The sequence below is a fragment of the Homo sapiens genome, chromosome 13 (assembly GCF_000001405.40).
Source record: "Homo sapiens chromosome 13, GRCh38.p14 Primary Assembly".
Lineage (NCBI taxonomy): Eukaryota > Metazoa > Chordata > Mammalia > Primates > Hominidae > Homo > Homo sapiens.
In genome coordinates, this window is record NC_000013.11 from 24158081 (window position 1) to 24176441 (window position 18361).

General features: G+C 44.6%; 1 protein-coding gene and 1 non-coding gene across 4 annotated transcripts in view, besides 1 other annotated feature; both read left to right on the forward strand.

The window, feature by feature from the left end:
- SPATA13 (spermatogenesis associated 13) overlaps positions 1–18361 on the forward strand; it is a 327268-nt gene that overhangs the window by 178279 nt on the left and 130628 nt on the right. For 2 of the 3 annotated variants that reach the window (NM_001166271.3, NM_153023.4), the window contains exon 1: positions 2640–2852. The exons of the other annotated variant lie outside the window; for it this stretch is intronic. The gene's annotated coding sequence lies outside the window, so the exon portion shown is untranslated. Of the gene's footprint in view, positions 1–2639; positions 2853–18361 lie in introns of those variants that run through there. 3 annotated transcript variants of the gene reach the window in all.
- Positions 2531–2590: a silencer, noted in NCBI's record as "silent region_5176". NCBI's record gives its function as "represses an Ori minimal core promoter by ATAC-STARR-seq in GM12878 lymphoblastoid cells {active_cell/tissue: GM12878}" and the evidence as "EXISTENCE:reporter gene assay evidence [ECO:0000049][PMID:35858748]".
- On the forward strand, positions 4336–4424 carry MIR2276 (microRNA 2276). Its single transcript, NR_031753.1, has one exon. It is a non-coding gene; the product is annotated as a microRNA 2276 (primary transcript).

Consider the following 18361-nt stretch of genomic DNA (forward strand, 5'->3'; position numbering starts at 1 on the left):
TTAGTGAGAGGTGGTAGTTTCTATCCTTAGACACTCTCCTGCAGAAAGCATCAGTGTTGTTAGGACGAACTTGGGTGAAAGTTTTGAATATTCAGGCTCCAGTTAGAGTCTTGAGTACCAAAAGATCAGCAGAGAAGAAAAGAGGTCACCGACCTTTGGAGGTTCCCACTTGCAGGAAACAACAGAATGCAGATGCCGGCCTTGTCTGCGAGGCTGTGAGTGATGGCGGCCATGTGGATAGAGAGCCATGTTGACAGAAAGCCACTGCGGGAGACCTAGGCTTTTACACAGAGGCCACATTGTGATTCCCGCAGGAATGGTAGAAATGGAAGGAAATTTAGCTATTGCTCGTCCTAATCTCTGACTTAACAGAATGGAAAAGCAAGAATAAGCGTCGGCTGGTGATGTACTCCCGTGATGAACACAGCTGGTTAGAGCCAGGTTGGACTGCGCCGCCTCTTCATGTCAGATCAGTGAATTTTCTCTTGAGCCATCCTGCCTTCCTCTAATAGATTTGTAATCTGAACCCAGACATATCTTTTATCCCAGGCGCTCAAAAGGTTTTCACTGAAACCCTGAAAAAAATATTTTTTAAAACTCACAAACAAACAATCAGCAAGCACCTGTATGTGCTAAGTTGATAGATAGTAAGAGTCTTACATGGGCTAAAGTTTTAATTCTCCACCCAATGCAGAGTGAGGTCCCACTGTCACCGGCTCACTGACGAGGAAGCTGAGATTCAGCAAGGTCCAGCACTCGCCCAGGGCTTGTACAGGGCCTCAAGGATGCGGGGGTCTTCAGGTCTAGTTGGTATCACTCCACAGAAATCCATTCATCTGAGGGCCAGGCCTGTTTCCCAAGGACATAGTTTCAAATATAGTGCTTTCTTCACTATAAAAAGTATTGCATGTAAATGTTAATAGTGGTTTCCAAGTAGGCAGAAATAACCTTTTGAAACACAATTTTTTTAAAAGAAAAATCAAAATCTGCTCCTCAGATTTGTGCTAATTCTAAAGAGATAATAAAAAAACCCTCAATTTAGACCGTGATATTTTTTTTTAAATAATACTAACATAGATTTCATTTTAGCATTTGTGAGTGCTTTGTGCAGATTTTTTATAGAGTAGAAATAAAATGGAACAGTCAATGATATTAGCCTCACATACTATGTTTCTAAAATTTTCCAAGGTTTGGTTTTTATATTTTTTCAGCTTTAAAAATACATGGTCATTGTTAAAACTTGGGGTAATTTCAATAACAATTCAAAGAATTAAATAAAATTTGCCCATATTTCCACCACCCACAGATAATTATCATTAATCTTGGAGTGTGCTTTAATTAATAGACTATTTTTAGAGCAGTTTTAGGTTTAGAAAACAGGAATGGAAAGTACACGGAGTTCTGATGTACTCCCTCACGCCCCTCCCTCCACACACAGCTGCTTGTACTGACATCTTACATTCGAGTGGCACATGTGTTATGATTGATGGGCCCATGTTGTTACATTAAGATGAACTAAGTCCATTACTTACAGGAGGCTCACGCCGCATGCTGTTCATTCTGTGAGTTTTGAGAAATGCATAATGACATGAAGCCACCATTATAATGTCATACAGAGTTTTTTCAATATTTTAAAAAACATACATAAAATTAATTTTCACTTTTCATTGGGTAATATAATTTTTGTTTTTTATTTTACAGATTGTGGGTATTGTTCTTTGATTATAAAAGACAATAGACATTTATAAATAATAGTGCTGGCCACTAAATGAATCATCTAAAAAACTACACTGGTAGAAAGCATGCATTTATTTTATGAATTCCATTAGCTGCCTATCAGGGAACATGGAGCACTGGGGCACAGATCCCAGCACAGAAGGGTTTGCTTCTCTTCTGTGGTTTTCATGTCAATTAATGATTAGGCCTTGAGCCTCACAAGAAAGGTGATAGGCCTTTGAGTCGGTTTACTGCAACAGTCTACTCAAGACTTGCCCCAGGCCCTGGGAAACATGTAGGTTTAAAAATCCCTACCCTGCGTTTTCCTTTCACAGGGAGTGAACTTCTGGCCCAGGCAGTGGGCAGTGGGGCACGGTTGCCCCGGAGATGAGACTCCTCTTCCCGCCCTGGGGGGTGGGGGCTGGCTGGTGGCTGAGGGAACTATTTTTGTTTGTTTCTTTTTTTAAAAAACGGAGTCTGGCTGTGTCCTCCAGGTTGGAGTGCAGTGGCGCGATCTCGGCACACTGCAACCTCCGCCTCTCGGGTTCAAGTGATTCTCCTGCCTTAGCCTCCTGAGTAGCTGGGATCACAGGCGCCTGTCACCACGCCCGGTTAATTTTTATTTTTATTAGAGACGGGGTTTCACCATGTTGGCCAAGCTGCTCTCAAATTCCTGACCTCAGGTGATCCGCCCACCTCGGCCTCCAAAAGTGCTAGGATTACAGGCAAGAGCCACTGCGCCTGGCCGGGGAACTGTTTTTGATGGGTGGGGTCCCCGGCTGTGGTTGGTAGTGTGGGGGCGTGGCCGAGGGTGTGGCCTGAGGGAGTGAGCTAACCGGGGGCGTGGCCTGATATGGGGCGGGGGGAAGAGCCGGGCTGGGGGCGTGGCCTGGTGGGGAGCGGGGCTGGGGCGTGGCTTGGCTGAGTGTGCTGCCGCGGCGCGGGAGGAGAGTGTGCGTTGCGCTTTCTCCCGCGATCGCCCTGCCGGTCGCTAGCTCCGAGGGCGCGCACTGGATCCCAGGCTCCTCCGAGAGTGCGGCGACCTCGGGGCTCCGCCGGCACCGGAGGTGGCTCTGAGGGCAGGGACGTGTTGGACACGCTGACTTTGTAGGCTCCGCCAAGAGGCGCCGCAGGAGGTAAGACGGCTTCGGGCGCGCGGCTCTGCCGGGCGGGCGCGGGCATGGGCTGTTAGGTAGAATATCGGGAGGATTTGAGTCCCAGTGGACTGCCTCGGGGCTTCGGGATGTCCAGCTCCCAGCTGCTTGGCCTCTGCTTCCCCCGCCGGTGGAGGCTACCGGGTGCTCACCTGTTAGGTCCGTGCGCCCGCTCCCTGCCCGGCGGTGGCTCTGCGCCCTCTGGGCCACCCGGCACCATCGCTTTTGGGAGGACATGCACGTGGTGTTCTCGCAAAAGGCCGTTTCCAGCCGGAAGCCTGCAGGGAGGTCGCCTTGTAACTTCACCCGCGCTCCCAGCTCGCGGGGCCTGGCCTACAGGGGCGGCCGTGGGGGTGGCAGAGTCTGGGGAGCCTGGCGCGGCGGAGCCCTGTAACGCTCTGCTCCATCGGGTGGCGTGGCTGGTGCCTCCGGGGACCCGGAGCGATGCGGTTGGAGAGCTTAGTTTAGAAAGCAAGTTTCTCTTGGTACCAGCGGAGTCTCGTCCCAGGGGAAAGATTTTGGGACCCGGTGCCCATCGTCTGTGGACTGCAGGGAATGCATTGGCGGAGTTGGTTTGGTCCCATTCTGTGCAGGAGGTGGGGGAATTGGTACTCCAGCCCCAGGCAGGTAGAAGCCCGCGCTGCTGCCAGCGTCAGGGGGAGCTCGGGTGACTTGGGCTGGGCCACCCATCTGACTGCAAGGTTACAGAGCTTGAGCAAATTTCCCCTCCCTCCAAGTGCAGGAAAACCAAACCAAAGCAAGCAAACAAAACCCTGTGGGTCATTTGCTTCCCAGCATTGCATAGGGATGTGGATAAATAGAATAATACTGTGAATTTATTCAGCTCTTGTTCCCATGGCTTCCCATAGCCTTATATTATGCACCTCCCCCTGCCAGCATTTTCTCTGTCCCCACCTTCGGTTTTTGCTGCCTCGTGTTTTCTTCTCTGTGAACCTTTCCTGGTCACCCAGCGATTTGCTCTCCTTTATTCCCCTTGCTAACAGGCGGAGAAATCTCACTCCTTTTCTTTTTCCACCTTTCCCAACAAATTCTCCTTTTTTCCTAATGTCCCCCTCCCCCGTCTTGCAAACTTCCTCACTGCATTATTCTCGGGGTGCCTGTCATGCACCCTCCCTGTTCTCTGCCCTCCTCCCGCACTTTAGAGTTTCATGTGGCTTTGTCTTATTATCCCATATCCTAATTCTCATCTACCTCCCTTGGCCCCCACGTTTGCCATCTGCCTCCACCCAGTTCTCCCATCTCCTTCCTTATTTGTGCTCCCGTGCATATGCAGGTTTCTTCCTTGTTTCCCCATGTTTCTCCCACAGGTGCTTTCTTCCCTTTGCCCTACTTCTCCCTGGCAGGCGCTCTGCCCAGCCACAGCCTGCCCCGCCTGGAGGGCACACCTTGCCTCAGTGCCTTCTGCTGCGGTTTTCCATGCTCCATCAGCATCCCTGGGTTCCTTGTGTTCTTCCAGTCCGCCCTCTGTCACCTTGCAGACGGCTTTCTCTCCGAATGTCTGCAAGTGTCAGAGGCGAGGAGTGGCAGCTGCATCTCTGCAGGAGGACTCTGGATTTCAGGACCCTCCCTTCTGCCACTGCTTCTGACTGATTGTTTTCTTATTGAAGTCGTATCCTCTACATAGTTCTAGAATTAATGTCAATATTGATGTTAGGTAGCATCTACCAAACTCTGGGTGTGTGCCAAGCACTGTTCTGAGGGCTTAACGTGCATCAGTACTCATTTAAAATCCTCCACACATCCCTATAATGTAGGATCTACTACTGTCCCCATTTGACAGATGAGAAAAGGAAGGCTCAGAGGAGGTAACCGGCATGGCTTCTTGCCACTGCCTAGCAGTGGAGGCCCTCTTCTCACCAGACAGTGGAGCTTCCCTGCTGGGTGACCTCTTGAACTCAGGCATGCCTGGAGTTTAGCTTTGGAAAGGAGGTTGTTATATGACATGTTTTATTTAGTCTGCAATGTACACCAGTGGAGGACATGAATTCTATACCTGTAGGACAGTGCATGGAGAAAAACCTAATGCCGGCTGTCCCTCAGAAAGCCTGGGGCCAGTGCCTGGGCTGTCACCTCATCCATGCTATCAGTCTACTTTCCCTCTTAGCCACAGGAAGCCCTGAAGAAAGTGGCATAAAAATGACCTGGCTGGGCACAGTGGCTCATGCCTGTAATCCCAGCACTTTGGGAGGCCGAGGTAGGAGGATTGCTTGAGCCCAGGAGTTCAAGACCAGCTTAGGCAGCATAGCAAGACCCCATCTCTAAAAAATAAAAATAAGAAATCAGCTGGTTGTGATGGCGCACTCACCTGTAGTCCAAGGTGCTCAGGAGGCTGAGGTGAGAGGATCTCTTGAGCCTGGGAGGTTGAGACTGCAGTGAGCTATGATTTTGCCACTACACTGCAGCCTGGGTGACAGAACGAGAGACTCTGTCTCTAAAAAAATTAAGTTAAATTAAAAAAGAAGACTACTGCCAGCTGTCTCCTCCCGTGCATTGAGAGTTCCGTTTCACTTTAGCTGGACAGATCTTTATGGTCTCTGTTAGCTGTGTGACTGTATGAGTCTTATTTATATCCATTTCATTATGTAATCTTAAAGCCTTGTCCAAACATTTCTTTTTTAGTCTTTATCTTCCTAAGAGTTGGAGGCAAGTAGTATTTCTACTTTACAGATACTGAAGCAGAGCATGCACCTTGATAGCTGAAAGGGACTTTATATTCTACAGATGAGGAAACCGTGGTCCAGGGAAATAAAATGGCATATTCAAGGGAAAGCAGCAGGACAAAGTTGGCTCTAAGGCTTCTCTGGTTCAGGGCTCAATGCCTGGCCCTATAGCTTGGTAGGTTGACCTCTCTGTTTGCTGCTGGAAGCAACAAAGTTTCTTTCCCCTTCCTTTCCCTTGAGCTAAGAGGCATTGGAAGGTTTCACTTAGAAGGGGAACTCATCAGTGCTTTCCTTTCTTTTTTGTCTGAAAACTAAACATTTAAGAAATGTTTGCCTATGAGACATGTAATAGCATAAATGGGATCATAACATCACAGTGGTATAAATTCAAATGTTTTAGAAAGAACTATCATTGTTATTTCTAAAACACCAGGAATGAACACCAAATGTACATGGTTTTCTTGAGGGAAACTATATAATACATGGCAATTTGAAAATCAGTACCTGGAATGTTTAATTGTATTTTACATTTGTGGAGAGAAATGCATTGGTACAAAGTGCTTACCTGATTTTCCTCATCTTTGCATCACAAATGAAAGAGCAGTAAAGGGGGAGCATAGAGTAGGTTGCTGTTTTTCTGTTGGCCTCTGCTGTACCCACATCCTTCTCTGGACTCCCACTGAGCCCCCTTGCTCCTGCCTCTGCTCCCTCCATGTTTAATGCCTCTTTTGGCTCCCCAGGGAACCTGCAGGGTATTGTTGAATTGTGATGCTCACCTCCTCCATACCAGCCTGTCTTGACAGAATGAAACCCTGATGCCCTGAGGCAGGCATCCTATGTGATGGCTTCATCACTCCCTCCTAGGATGAGATGGGTGATCAGGTACCATCCTGGGGAGAAGGGAGGAAGCATTTGCGTGAGGTATCCTCTGTGTTCTGTGGTTTAGGTGAGGATGGTTATAACTGAGGAGCAAGTCAAGTTTCATTGCTCCCTAAATGAGATGGAGGTTCAGGGAAGCTGTCGTGGCCAGAGCCCCATAGTAAGTGGCAAGACTGAGACTGGACCCCGGGCTGCCTGGCTTAGGAGATCCACCTGCATCCCTCGGTGTGTCTGTCTTCCCTCTAACCTGTAACTCCCTGAGGCAGAAACGGCACCACAGAACCTTTCACAACATCGATAGCTCCTGTGTGCTGAGCTGAAGGTGAAGCTGGAGAGGAGAGACCAGGGGACCAGGGGACAAGAGCCTGAGGGCTCAGAGGAGTTCCCAGTCCAGCCGTCGCGCTAACTTCGGGGTTGTGGACGATGCCCTCTGTGCCTGCAAGAACCCTGGGGAGCTGTGGCAACACCGCAGAATGCAAGGAGAATGGCGTCTGTGTTTCCTGTATATGTATGTGGTTGTGGCCATGTGCTGTGGTCAGGATGTCAGCTTCGGTGGACACAGGTAATGGCTGTCCTGTGGTCATCATGTTCCAGCATCTCGGAAATGGGGCTGTTGCTTCAGTGAACCAGGACCTTAAAGGACCTGACTTCTTGGTGAGCAATCACTTCCACCCATTTCCCTGAAGCGGGACTGCCCTAGTCTTTGTGGAATCACGAGAGCGCAGACATTGTCACTTGAGGGATTCTGTGCCTGCCTCAGACTGTCTCCCACCCCAGCATGCCAGGTCTGCCCTGAAGACCCACCAGCATCCATCTGCACCCTCCAAGAGGACTCTACCTGTCCAATCCAGGAGAGGGGAAGGGCCAGCCTTTCCCCTCCACCCCCATTCATACCAGAGCAGGCTTTGTTTCTTAACACTGGCAAGCTCTCCTTAGAGAGAAGTAGAGCACAGGTCCGAAATGGCCAGACTGGAGAGTTTCAATGGAGGGAGGCAAGCTGCCTTCCTGGGTTCCTGGGCCACCCAGTCTCCTGCCCTCTTCTCCTCTCTCAGCCCTTCCCGGTTGCACCCCCCACCCACCCCAACTCCAACTTTAGCAGCAGGAAAGGGGACATCTTTACTCACTGTCTGGGACAGATGCACGGGGAGGGCAGGCTTTTATTGTCTTATTCCAATGGGGGCAGGAGGCTGGCAATGAGATGTGTTGTGGTATTGCTGATCAGAACGTTGATCACATCTTTTGCAGAAAATGTTGCTCTGTGTGATAGGAACAGTCCATTGTACTTGAGTGTTAATGCGACAATTCAGTCTCATTACACAGGATTCTTAGGTCAGGCCCTAGCTCTTAGTCACCATGGGTGATGTAGAGATTGGTAAATGTGCCCTGAGTCCTAAACAACTTGCACATGTACTTTTAAACACATCCGGGTTGTGTGTTGTGACTCTATAGCTAAAAGAAAAATAGCCTCTGGTTCAGAAATGTGCTCCACTTCCACCCTTCCTGGGGGGTGGAGTGCTCTTCTGTAACGTATAAAAGTCTTTCTCATTCATCAGGAATGGCCTATTTAGGGATTTATGTGGATTTGCAGATTCTGCTATCACAAGTGTAATACCGATGATACTTCATGCTGGTTTGTAAGCATAAATGTATATGTAATACTTACTGTGTATCTTTTGTGTACTAGATGCTGAAGATGGAGAGATTGATCAGAGACAGTCCCATTTTCATGAAGAGACTCATATTCTTGTCTAGAGGGAGAGGCCCATATGTAAAAGCAAAGCAGTGAAAAGTAGTGAGTGTGGCAGTCAGTTAGGGGAGAAGATGAGAGTTCAAAGATCCAGGAAGGCTTCCTGGAGGAGGAGCTGAGTCCAGTGTGGGCTGAATCCTAACAGAGGAGTGAGCAATTAGGGAAGGAGCTGACAAAGGAAAACCTTCTAGCCCTGGGGGACGGCGTAAACAGAGGTGAGGAGATGGGCTCCAGCTTGGTGACTTGAGGGACCCTTGAACATCTGTATCACTATAGCCCCAAGCACATCAGTCATGACTGAGTCTGTGTGCCTAGGGCATGGTTCTAGCATCAGCAACACTTGGGGGTTTGTTAGGAAAGTAAATTCTAGGGCTCCCACCAGACCTATAAATTAGTTCTGTGAGTGGGGCCCAGCAATCTGTTTTTTAACATGCCTTCTACATGTTTTTCAACCACAGAAATATTTGAAAGCCACTGTTTTAGAGCATATGCTTCCTGGAGGCTCTGAACAGCTACTCTCCATGTCTGCCTCATAGTATTTGCAGAGAATGGTAATCCTCTTTTATGAGGGCATTAATCTCCTTCACGAGAGGGGAGCCCTCATGATTTAATCAGTTCCAAAAGGACCCACTTCTTCACATCATCACCTTGGGGTTTAAATTTCAACATCAAAATTTTGGAGGGACACATACATTCAGACCGTAGCAGTTCCCATCTCTCAGAGTTTCAAAACCTTTGCTGCATGTTTGAATTACCAGGGTGCCTTTAAATACATTGGTGCCTACTCTTACCTTCAAATGTTATGATTGGTTTGGGGTATGACCTATGTGTTGAAATTTTTGAAAGCTTCCCAAGCGTAGTCAAGTTTGGGAACCACTGTCATAGGTGAGGATTCCATGAATTGATCCTTGTAAAATGCCAGAGTGTCCTGGCCATCACGCAGGAAGTGCTTTGTGTGTGTGTCTCTCTGGTGGTGGAGGCTGTGATGGTTCTGTGATAGGAGGAGGTGGTGGTGGCACCACGTCTGTTGTGTAATGAATGCTCGTTCAGTGTTGAACATGTGCCAGTTTGGACATGGTCGTGGTCCTCTCCTTTGGTCTGAGAGTTGGGAAGTAAAACAGCTCCAGTGTGGTGGATCTGCACAGCTAATTCTGTAAGCTAATCCCAGGCAAAGATACAGAAGATGATGCTGCCAACAGAGAACACGGGGCCCACAGGCCAGCCTCCCCAGCAACCTGGCACCATTTTCCTCACCTCTCAACAGTACAAGCTTGAATTCTGAACAGCCAGGTTCTAAAATCGTGAAGTACCAATACTTCTGTGTGAATAGTGTGAATGGGAATGTTATGTGAATTGGGTGCCCTAGGATTTTGTACCTTCTCCAACCAATCAGTTGTACCCAAGTGCCAGTTTACACACACACACACTCACTCACTCACTCCATCTCTAGACTTGGCCTTCTGTGGCAAGTGATCTGTCTTCTAGGGTCTAAATTTCATTGTTATAAACCATGTATTTCTAAACATTATTGGAAAGAGTGTATAATCTTTTTGTATTTCTTGTCCCATCATGAATATTCATTCTTCCTTCATTCATTGTTTTATTCATTCAGCAAATGTTGAGCAACTGCATCGGCCCTGACACTGAGCTCACAGTTTTATCCCTTTTCCTACTGTGGAGACATAAACATGTTTCTCTCTCTGTCAGCATGGACAAAGTAGGGTTTTTTTGGTCTTAATTTATAATGGTAGCCTTCTCTATTTCTGCCTCTTGATGACGTAATTATTCAACTTTTAATAATACAACATCTGAAGGACATTTTTCATGTCGACTTCATGAGCCTTCTGTGAACCCTGCTGAGATTAATTAAATCAAACTCCATGCAGCAATTATCCTAAAATATCCCGACAAGTTATTAAAACTGAGTTTACCCAGGACTGTAAGACTTGAGTAAGTGACCCATAGCCGGTGCCCTTGGAATGAAGCCTGGGATCCAGTTTAATTTCTGTCAGTTTCTAATTTCTTTTAGTGCAGAATCAGTCCTGGTAAGGTGGTTGAATTAATGACATACATGAAAAATATGTGAATTCATGTCTCGAGTTTATGATTTGCTCTCTTTCTGTGAAAAAGATAGATTATGTTTTTGGTTTTGTTTTGCCCTGCCAGCTTCCAAGTAACCACTTACTGTTAAATTGGCCCCAGTACACTTCAGTGTTTGTTGCAAATGGAAAGAATTGATTCACTATATTTTTTTCTGCTGCTGAATCACTAAGCAAAACTCTACCGCTGGGGAAACTTTTGTATCGCAGCACACAAGCAGCCCAGTATGATGGTAAAGACCAACCTCCATTGTGTGGTCTTACCATTGTCACTCGCGTTACCCACGGACTGAATAGGGTTTAGAAATACAGGCCTTCAAAGGAATTGCCGTTGCTTAAATGTTCCATGGCTGCTTCTGAAATAACATCCCTCCAGCCCTCATTCAAAACAAGAAAGAAGGAAGGGCATATATTAATATCTGCAACTTCAGTGATATTCAAAAGTATTATATATTTAAATAAGGAAAGTTAAAATCCATTTTAATTTTAAAAATTTGAAGTTAAATAATTCAAAATATACTAAAAAATAAAAAGCCCACACAGTATTCTTTAAATGGTATGTTTTACCATCTACCAGACCTGCTTTCTACCTTTGACTTTTCTTTTTTGTTGTTTTCTTTTCTTCTTTTTTAGATTTTCTATCAGATTCAATACATTTTACTTTTCTAAAACAAATCTAAAATCCCCAGAGTGGCCTGCTAGGCTCGGCTTACTAAAGAGCCTGCTTGTGTTGCCAAGTTAGGATTAGCCTGGCATTGGGATCTCTGCGTGTCCTTGGGCCACGCTGTCAGAACTTTGGTTTCCTGCCCTTCCTAGAAAAGGCTTGGGCTCTTTACTCGGTGGTTGCCTGAATTCCAGCTCTTGGCTGTGGCCTGTGGTTGGAATGTGATGGAACACGAATGGTGTGCTTGTTATACCAGGCTGATGTGGAGTGAGGTGCTAACCCTGGAAAGCTCCCCTTGAGTTGAGTCTTAGACTCCTGGCCTCACTGTAGATTAAACAGTGGGATTCTGGGTAAGCAAAAGTGGCAGCTTCTTCCGACCATTTTATTTTTTCATGACAAGTCGTAAGGCGTGAGTAGACTGGTTTCAAAATCAGTCTGGGTTCTATTTGTTGTATTTCTGACTGCTGTCCTCACTGACCGGCATTGAGATAAACAGCTCGAAAGCAGACACCTTCTCCAGACTCTGCCCTGGAAATGAGTTGGGACCTGCAGCCTGTCCTATAACTTCCCTTCCCGAGGTCATGTGGCTCCGGGAGCATCAAGATGGGGGTCTGGCACAGGTGCCCAGTGTCGCTTCTCAGCGGGAACTCAATTCTTTCCTCCTCTTCTAGTCTCTCTCCTCTCACTCAAGCTCTCTGCAGAATGGGAGGTGAGGGAAGAAGGTAACCTCCTGCAGACCTTTCTTCTCAGTCTAGAGTCTTCTGCTTCCAGAGGTTTCAGGTGGCTCAGTGAGTCCCCACTCTCCTCTCCTGCCTGGCTGCTCTGCCTGCAGACTCCACTCGGCATTAGGAAAAATACTCAGGGCATGAGCACTTCTGTGCCATGAACACCTGCCTTCTGATACGGAGATTGTCTTGGAGGAGAAAGCAAGAACTCTCCCTGCTTTTTCTCATCCTTATTTTAAATGTGACGTCTTCATACAAAGTTCTTATCCCTAGAGAGTTCCAAACCAGATAGCTTTAGGCAGTACACAGAAGTGAGAATGGTTTGACAGTACAAGGTCCCATCTTCAGTTTACCACATTAGGCCTCAAATATCTGCAGGGGGATAGGTCAAATCATGCTCCAGCCACTGCCTCAGTATGTCTGATTTGGTAGCATAGTTCCTTAAATTTCCACACTAGCATCTCTGAAGTAACTTGATCACATTGACTTCCTGAGGGCTACTTTTAAGCCTGCTGTGATTAATGAAATCAAACCCCACACAACAATTATTCTAAAGCATAGTGGCTTATTCAGTTTCAGTGCATGCCCAACTGCTGGGCTGGAATCGTCCAAATGGATGACTACATTTTTGTTGATGTCCTACCATAGGAGTCTAGTAGCCTTTTAAAATTTTTGTGGGTGGACACTACTCATCTCCTTCAGTTTCTCTCTCATTCTGGGATGAGGAATCTCTAAATGAAGAAGGAATTGTCTGTCGTCAGCAAGAGGTGCTACTTTCTATTTCTAGGCTTTCGTGGAAAGTCTCCTGTGGAAGCGCCATCCCCTCTGCAGAGTACATCTCTGTTGTCCTCAGATTGAGGCTTTTGAAGAACACTCTGTGTGAATTGGAACACCTGTCTCCTGAGATGAAGATAATGGGTATCTGTGCCAATCAGTCTGGCGTAAAAAGATCATTATGCAAAGAGACTGGTTTAGCAAGAGGATTCCTGGGCCCTTGTTCCCCAGAACTGGGACAGCCACCCTCTCTGGGTGTACTTTCAGATCCACTGAAAGACCTGGAAGCACCCTTTTAGTCATTGAGAGACAATTTACAAACAACAGCAACTCCGAAAAGTATAGGTTTATATGATTCGTTGTTGGGAACAGAAGAGTGTTCTTTGATGGGATTGTTTTAAAAGAACTGGAATGTCCAGTGGCCAGTTACACTTGCATGGTTATTCTCTTCCCTCTGTAAACTCATCAGTGCGGGATTCAGAAAGAACAAGCATGGAACACATTCCTCCATGCCCCTTCTTTCTGAATCCTGCAGTGATGAGTTTACAGAAGGAAGACAATTTGCATGGAATTTTAGTTGGAAATACATTTTCCCATTCGAAGGACCCTACAACATCAAACGAGTGAGACGTTCAACAGCCGCTGACTGCTCACTAGAGCTGGGTGGTTTTAGATCCCCAGGAAATGGCTGTCGTGCCATCTGAGCATGAGGCACTTGGAAAGCAGTGCCCATCACTGCCTCATGTGTTCAGCGCTGTCATTTTTCAAGAGACGAAGGAAGATGGTGAAGTCGTGACCCTTGTCTCAGAACATGCGGGTCAGATCTGACAACACCTGCTGCTTCCATGGGGAGGGTGGAGTGAGGAGAACTGGTGCTGGGAATGCTGATGCCATCACACGTGTCTCACGTATGGTTTCCTGTTGAATGACAGTAGCCATGTCCTACTTCTCTCCCACCTACAGTGTCCTGCAGATGACAGTGGGAGTGCCACAAGGATGGGTGAATGGAGCAGCATACAGGGCTGATAATTACAAATGGCCCAACAAGGAGGTGGCCACGTGTGCTTGCTGGTGCCCCACTGGGTCAGCTGTGCTGACTTCCACATGTTCAGACAGACTTCTGCATTTGTCCTTGTATCAGTGGTGAGGTTTGGCTATTCAAGAAAAAGCCTGTAAGATAATTTTGAACTTGCAGATTAATGGCATACCCAAACCTGGTGATTGGTTACGTGAATAACAAAGTTTTGGTGCATAGATGAGTTTCCTCAGCTGGAGGAACGTTGGGAAAGTCAACATCTGACACAGAAGAGGCAGAACTGGTTGGCCTAAGAAAAGCATAGGGATTTGAAAGTTAAGGCAGTATATAATTGTATCAGCAAATACCTCAAAATTCTTATTTATCAGTGTTTTAAATTTAACTTTTCATTTTTAGATCATTCGGAGGGGTTACTCAGATTCTCCGAATGATGACATCTTGCAAGACTGTACTACAATGGTGGAACTAAGGATCTTGACGTGGATATGGTCAAGATGCAGAACTTTCCCATCACCACAGGATCCCTCCTGCTTGTCCATGCACACTCACTAAAGCCACACCTAGTTTCCTCTGTCCCACCCTGCCTTTCTCCCTGAGAGCCACTACTTTATTCTCTATATAATTTTATCCTTTCAAAAATATTATGAAATCGGAATGTTTGGGATTGGCTTTTTTCACTCAGTGTTATTCTCCGATGATACTAATACTCTTTCAGACATGTGGTTTGCAAATGTTTTCTGAATCAGTGGCTTGGCTTTTCAGCCACTTAGCAAGGTCTTTTGTAGAATGAGAGTTTTTCATTTTGATGAGGTCCAGTTTATCAGTTTTTCCTTTAATGGATGATGCTTTTGGTACCAAGTCTAAGAACTCCGTCGTAGTCCTAGATCCTGAAGGTTTTCTTTTGTGTTTTTTTCTAAAACGTTCGTGGTTTTTCATTTTACAGTTAAGTCCATGATCCATTCAAGTTAATTTTTGTAGCAGGCATGAGATTTAGGTCAGTGTTTTTTTCTTGGCCTGTAGATGTCTAATTGCTCTAGCACTGTTTGTTGAAAAAACATCCTTCTTGCATTCAGTTGGTTTTGCTTCTTTATCAAAAATTAGTTGGTTTTATTTGTGTGGATCTGCTTCTGGCTTATTTACTCTGTTCTTTTGATCTATATGTCTATACCTCAGCCAGTATCACAGTCTTGATTATCACAGCTGCATACATCTTGAAATTGGATAGACCTGATTTTAAAATTGTTTTAGCTAGCTCCCTTCCCTTTCTGTATTAATGTTAGAATAGTCGTCTCTCCATCAACATAAAATCTTGCTGGGATCTGATAGTGATTTTGGGTAGAATTGACATCTTTACTATGTTAAGTTTCTGATCAGTTAACACAGTGTGTCTCTTCATTTATTTTATCTTTTTTGATTAGTTTCATCAGCATTGTACGGCTTTCAGCACACAGGTTTCATACACATTTTGTTAGATTAACACCTAAGTAGTTCATTTTTTTTGAGTCATTACAAAGTGGTATTATGTAAATATATACTTTTTGAGACACAGTCTTGCTCCGTCATCCAGGCTGGAGTGCAGTGGTGCGATCTTGGCTCACTGCACCCTCCGCCTCCCGGGTTCAAGCGATTCTCCTGCCTCAGCCTCCTGAGTAGCTGGGACTATAGGCATGTGTCACCAGGCGTGGCTAATTTTTTGTATTTTTAGTAGAGATGGGGTTTTGCCATGTTAGCCGGGATAGACAATTGATTTTTAAAATGTTTGGCTTGTATCCTGCAACCTTGTGGAACTCACTCATTAGTTCTTAGTTGTGTGTGTGTGTGTGTGTGTGTGTGTGTGTGTGTGTGTGGTAGATTTCTTGAGATTTTCTATGTGGGCAATCATGTCATGTACAAATGGAATGGCTTTATTTCTTTCTTTCCCATCCATACGCCTTTTATTCCCCCCCGTCCCCCAACTTTTTTTTTTTTTTGGCCTTATTGCATTGGCTATGGCATCCTGTCCTTCACCATGAAGCATAATGTTAGCTTTAGGGTTTTCTATAGATGTTCATTATCAAGTTGAGGATATTCCCTTCTATTCCTGTCTCTCTAAAAAGGTTTTAAACTGTGAAGAATGGGTGTTGAATTTCATCAAATGCTTTTTCTGTATCAGTTGATGTGATTGTGTGGTTTTTCTTCTTCAGCCTGTTAATATGCTGGATTACACTGATTAATTTTCAAATACTGAATCAGTCTTGGATCCCTGGAATAAACCCAAATGGAATGAAGCCCATTTGGTCGTATGAATAATTATTTTATATGTATTGCTGAATTCTGTTTTGTTAAGCATTTTTGTGTTGTATTCATGAGTGATACTGGTTTGTAGTTTTCTTTTTTTGTACTGTTTTGATCAGGTTTTGGTACCAGGGAAATATCACCTTCATAAAATGAGTCAGGAAATGTTCCTCTTTCATTTCCCGGAAGAGGTAGTGTAGAATTGGTGTTAATTCTTTTTAAGCATTTGGTAGAATTCTCCAGCAAAACCACCTGGGCATAAAGATTTCTCTTTTGAGGGTTTTGAAATTACAGATTCACTTTCCTTAATGGTTAAGGGCTGTTGAAGTTATCTTTTCACATTGTGTGAGTTGTGGTAGTTTGTGTTTTTAAAGAAAGCGGTCCATTTTGTTGAAGTTGTCAAGTTGGTGTGTGTAGAGTTGCTCGTATTATCAGTCTTTTCAAAGAACAGCTCTTTGTTTAATTGATTTTTTCTATTGATATTTGTTTTTAATTTCTTTTATATCTGCTCTTACCTTAATTCTTTCTTTCTTCTGCTTGCTTTAGGCTTAGTTTGCTTTTTTTTTCTAGATTTTTGAAGTGGGAGATTAGATTGATTTGAGATGGTTCTTCTTTTCTTATATGAGCATTTCGTGCTATCAGTTTCCCTCACAGCACTGCTTTCGCTATATTCCACACATTTTTATGTGTTGCATTTTCATTTTCATTCAGTTAAATATATGATTAAAAATTTCCCTTTATTTTATTTTTTATTATCACTTTTTTGAGACGAAGTCTTGCTCTGTCACCCAGACTGGAGTATAGTGGCGCAATCTTGGCTCACTGCAACCTCCGCCTCCCAGGTTCAAGCTATTCTCCTGCCTCAGTCTCCCAAGTAGCTGGGACTACAGGTGTGTGTCACCACGCCTGGCTAATATTTGAATTTTTTTAGTAGAGACAGGGTTTCACCATGTTGGCCAGGCTGGTCTTGAATTCCTGACCTCAGGTGATCCACCTGCCTTGGCCTCCCAAAGTGCTGGGATTACAGGCGTGAGCCCCTGCACCCAGCCTAAAAGTTTCCCTTTAGAGTTCCCCCTTGACTTGTGGATTATTTAGAAATGCGTTGTTTCATATCCAGATGTTTGGAGATTTTTTTGTTAACTTTCTGTTACTGATTTCTAGTTTAATTCCATTACGGTTAGAGAACACACTCTATATGATTTCAATTCTTTTAAATTTGTTGAGGTTTGTATGGCCCGGGGTATTGGTCCATCTTGATATATGTTCCCTGGGCACTGGAAAAGAATGTGTATTCTGATGTCCTAGGGCGGAGTTCTGTAGCTCTCTAATCCTTTTGGTCGAGGGCATTAATCCTGCAGTGGACTGTTTTGCTACAGACTCAGTAGTGATGCTTGTTTTTTTGTTTTTTTTAATTTGTTTTTGTTGTTGTTGTTGTTTTGTTTTGTTTCTTTGGCAGAAAAAAGGAAAGTGAAGTTTGGATAGCAGATAACTTGAAATCATAGTGCCTAGCAAACATAGGGAGGCTAAAAGTCTACATTGCCAATTTAGGGCAACTTTGACAAGGAGAGAGAGGAGTTAGTGTTCTCTATTGATAATTTAGGTACCAAAGAGGGGCCATTTCATCGCACCATTGTTTTAGAATTAGAAACTCTGAAGAAAACCCAGCTTGATCTCAGAATCAGAGTCCAGACAGCTAAACTTGCCAGTTAGGGCTAGAAGAAAGGGATGTGTTTCAGAGTTGTCTATCTAGATTTCTTGTTGAGTAATGTTTATGAGTAACTACCTTAATGTTTACCAAGTATTTATTTAATTACCAGTTTAATTAGACTTAGAACAGGGAAATGGATCATTACTATAAAAGCTAGGTTATTCATCTCTTCTAAACAGTTTGTTGACTACCTCATCTGTTCCAGACATAGTGCTAGTCCCTGAGGATATAAAAATAAACTAGAGAGACACGGATCTAGGTGTCATTTTTCTTCTCCCACAGGAGAGAAACTTTAGAAATCCCAGTGGCTTCTATGCAGAGCGATTACTAGAAAACATAAATAAATTTCTCCTTGAAGATTATTTTAGTTGCAAATAATGCAGCTTAAATTTGAAAAGCGATAGTTAAAATACTCTGCAGGAAAACTACTGCATGTTTTATGACATGCTAACAGAGTCACCTTCAACTCAAAACACAGCATCCTCTGCGTGTCTCCTGTCTGCTGGGTACTGGAGCAGGCGTGGGGGATCTGAGCTTGCTCAGCTCCTGGTGTATGCTTCTTTCTTAAGTGTGATTGTTACAAAGGTAGAGTCCAAGTGTAAATTTCTCAGGCTTTATATCCATTTTTTGTTTTATTTCTTGAGAAATTGAAGCCTCCATATACACTGCAAAAAGTTACTTATGCCTGTCTTTTCCATAACACAATTTTATAAGGACTATCTACATAAGTCATGTTGAACTTAAACAGATCTGGTGTCAGTACTAAAGTTGTTTATGTTTTGTAAACACCCCATTAGTTTAACCCATTTTATTTACCAGTTACAACTTTGGAAGGGCAGCAAAGACCTTGGTCTATTACTTTTCATGTAATCTTTACAGAAAAGTTGGAAAATACAGCCAAATA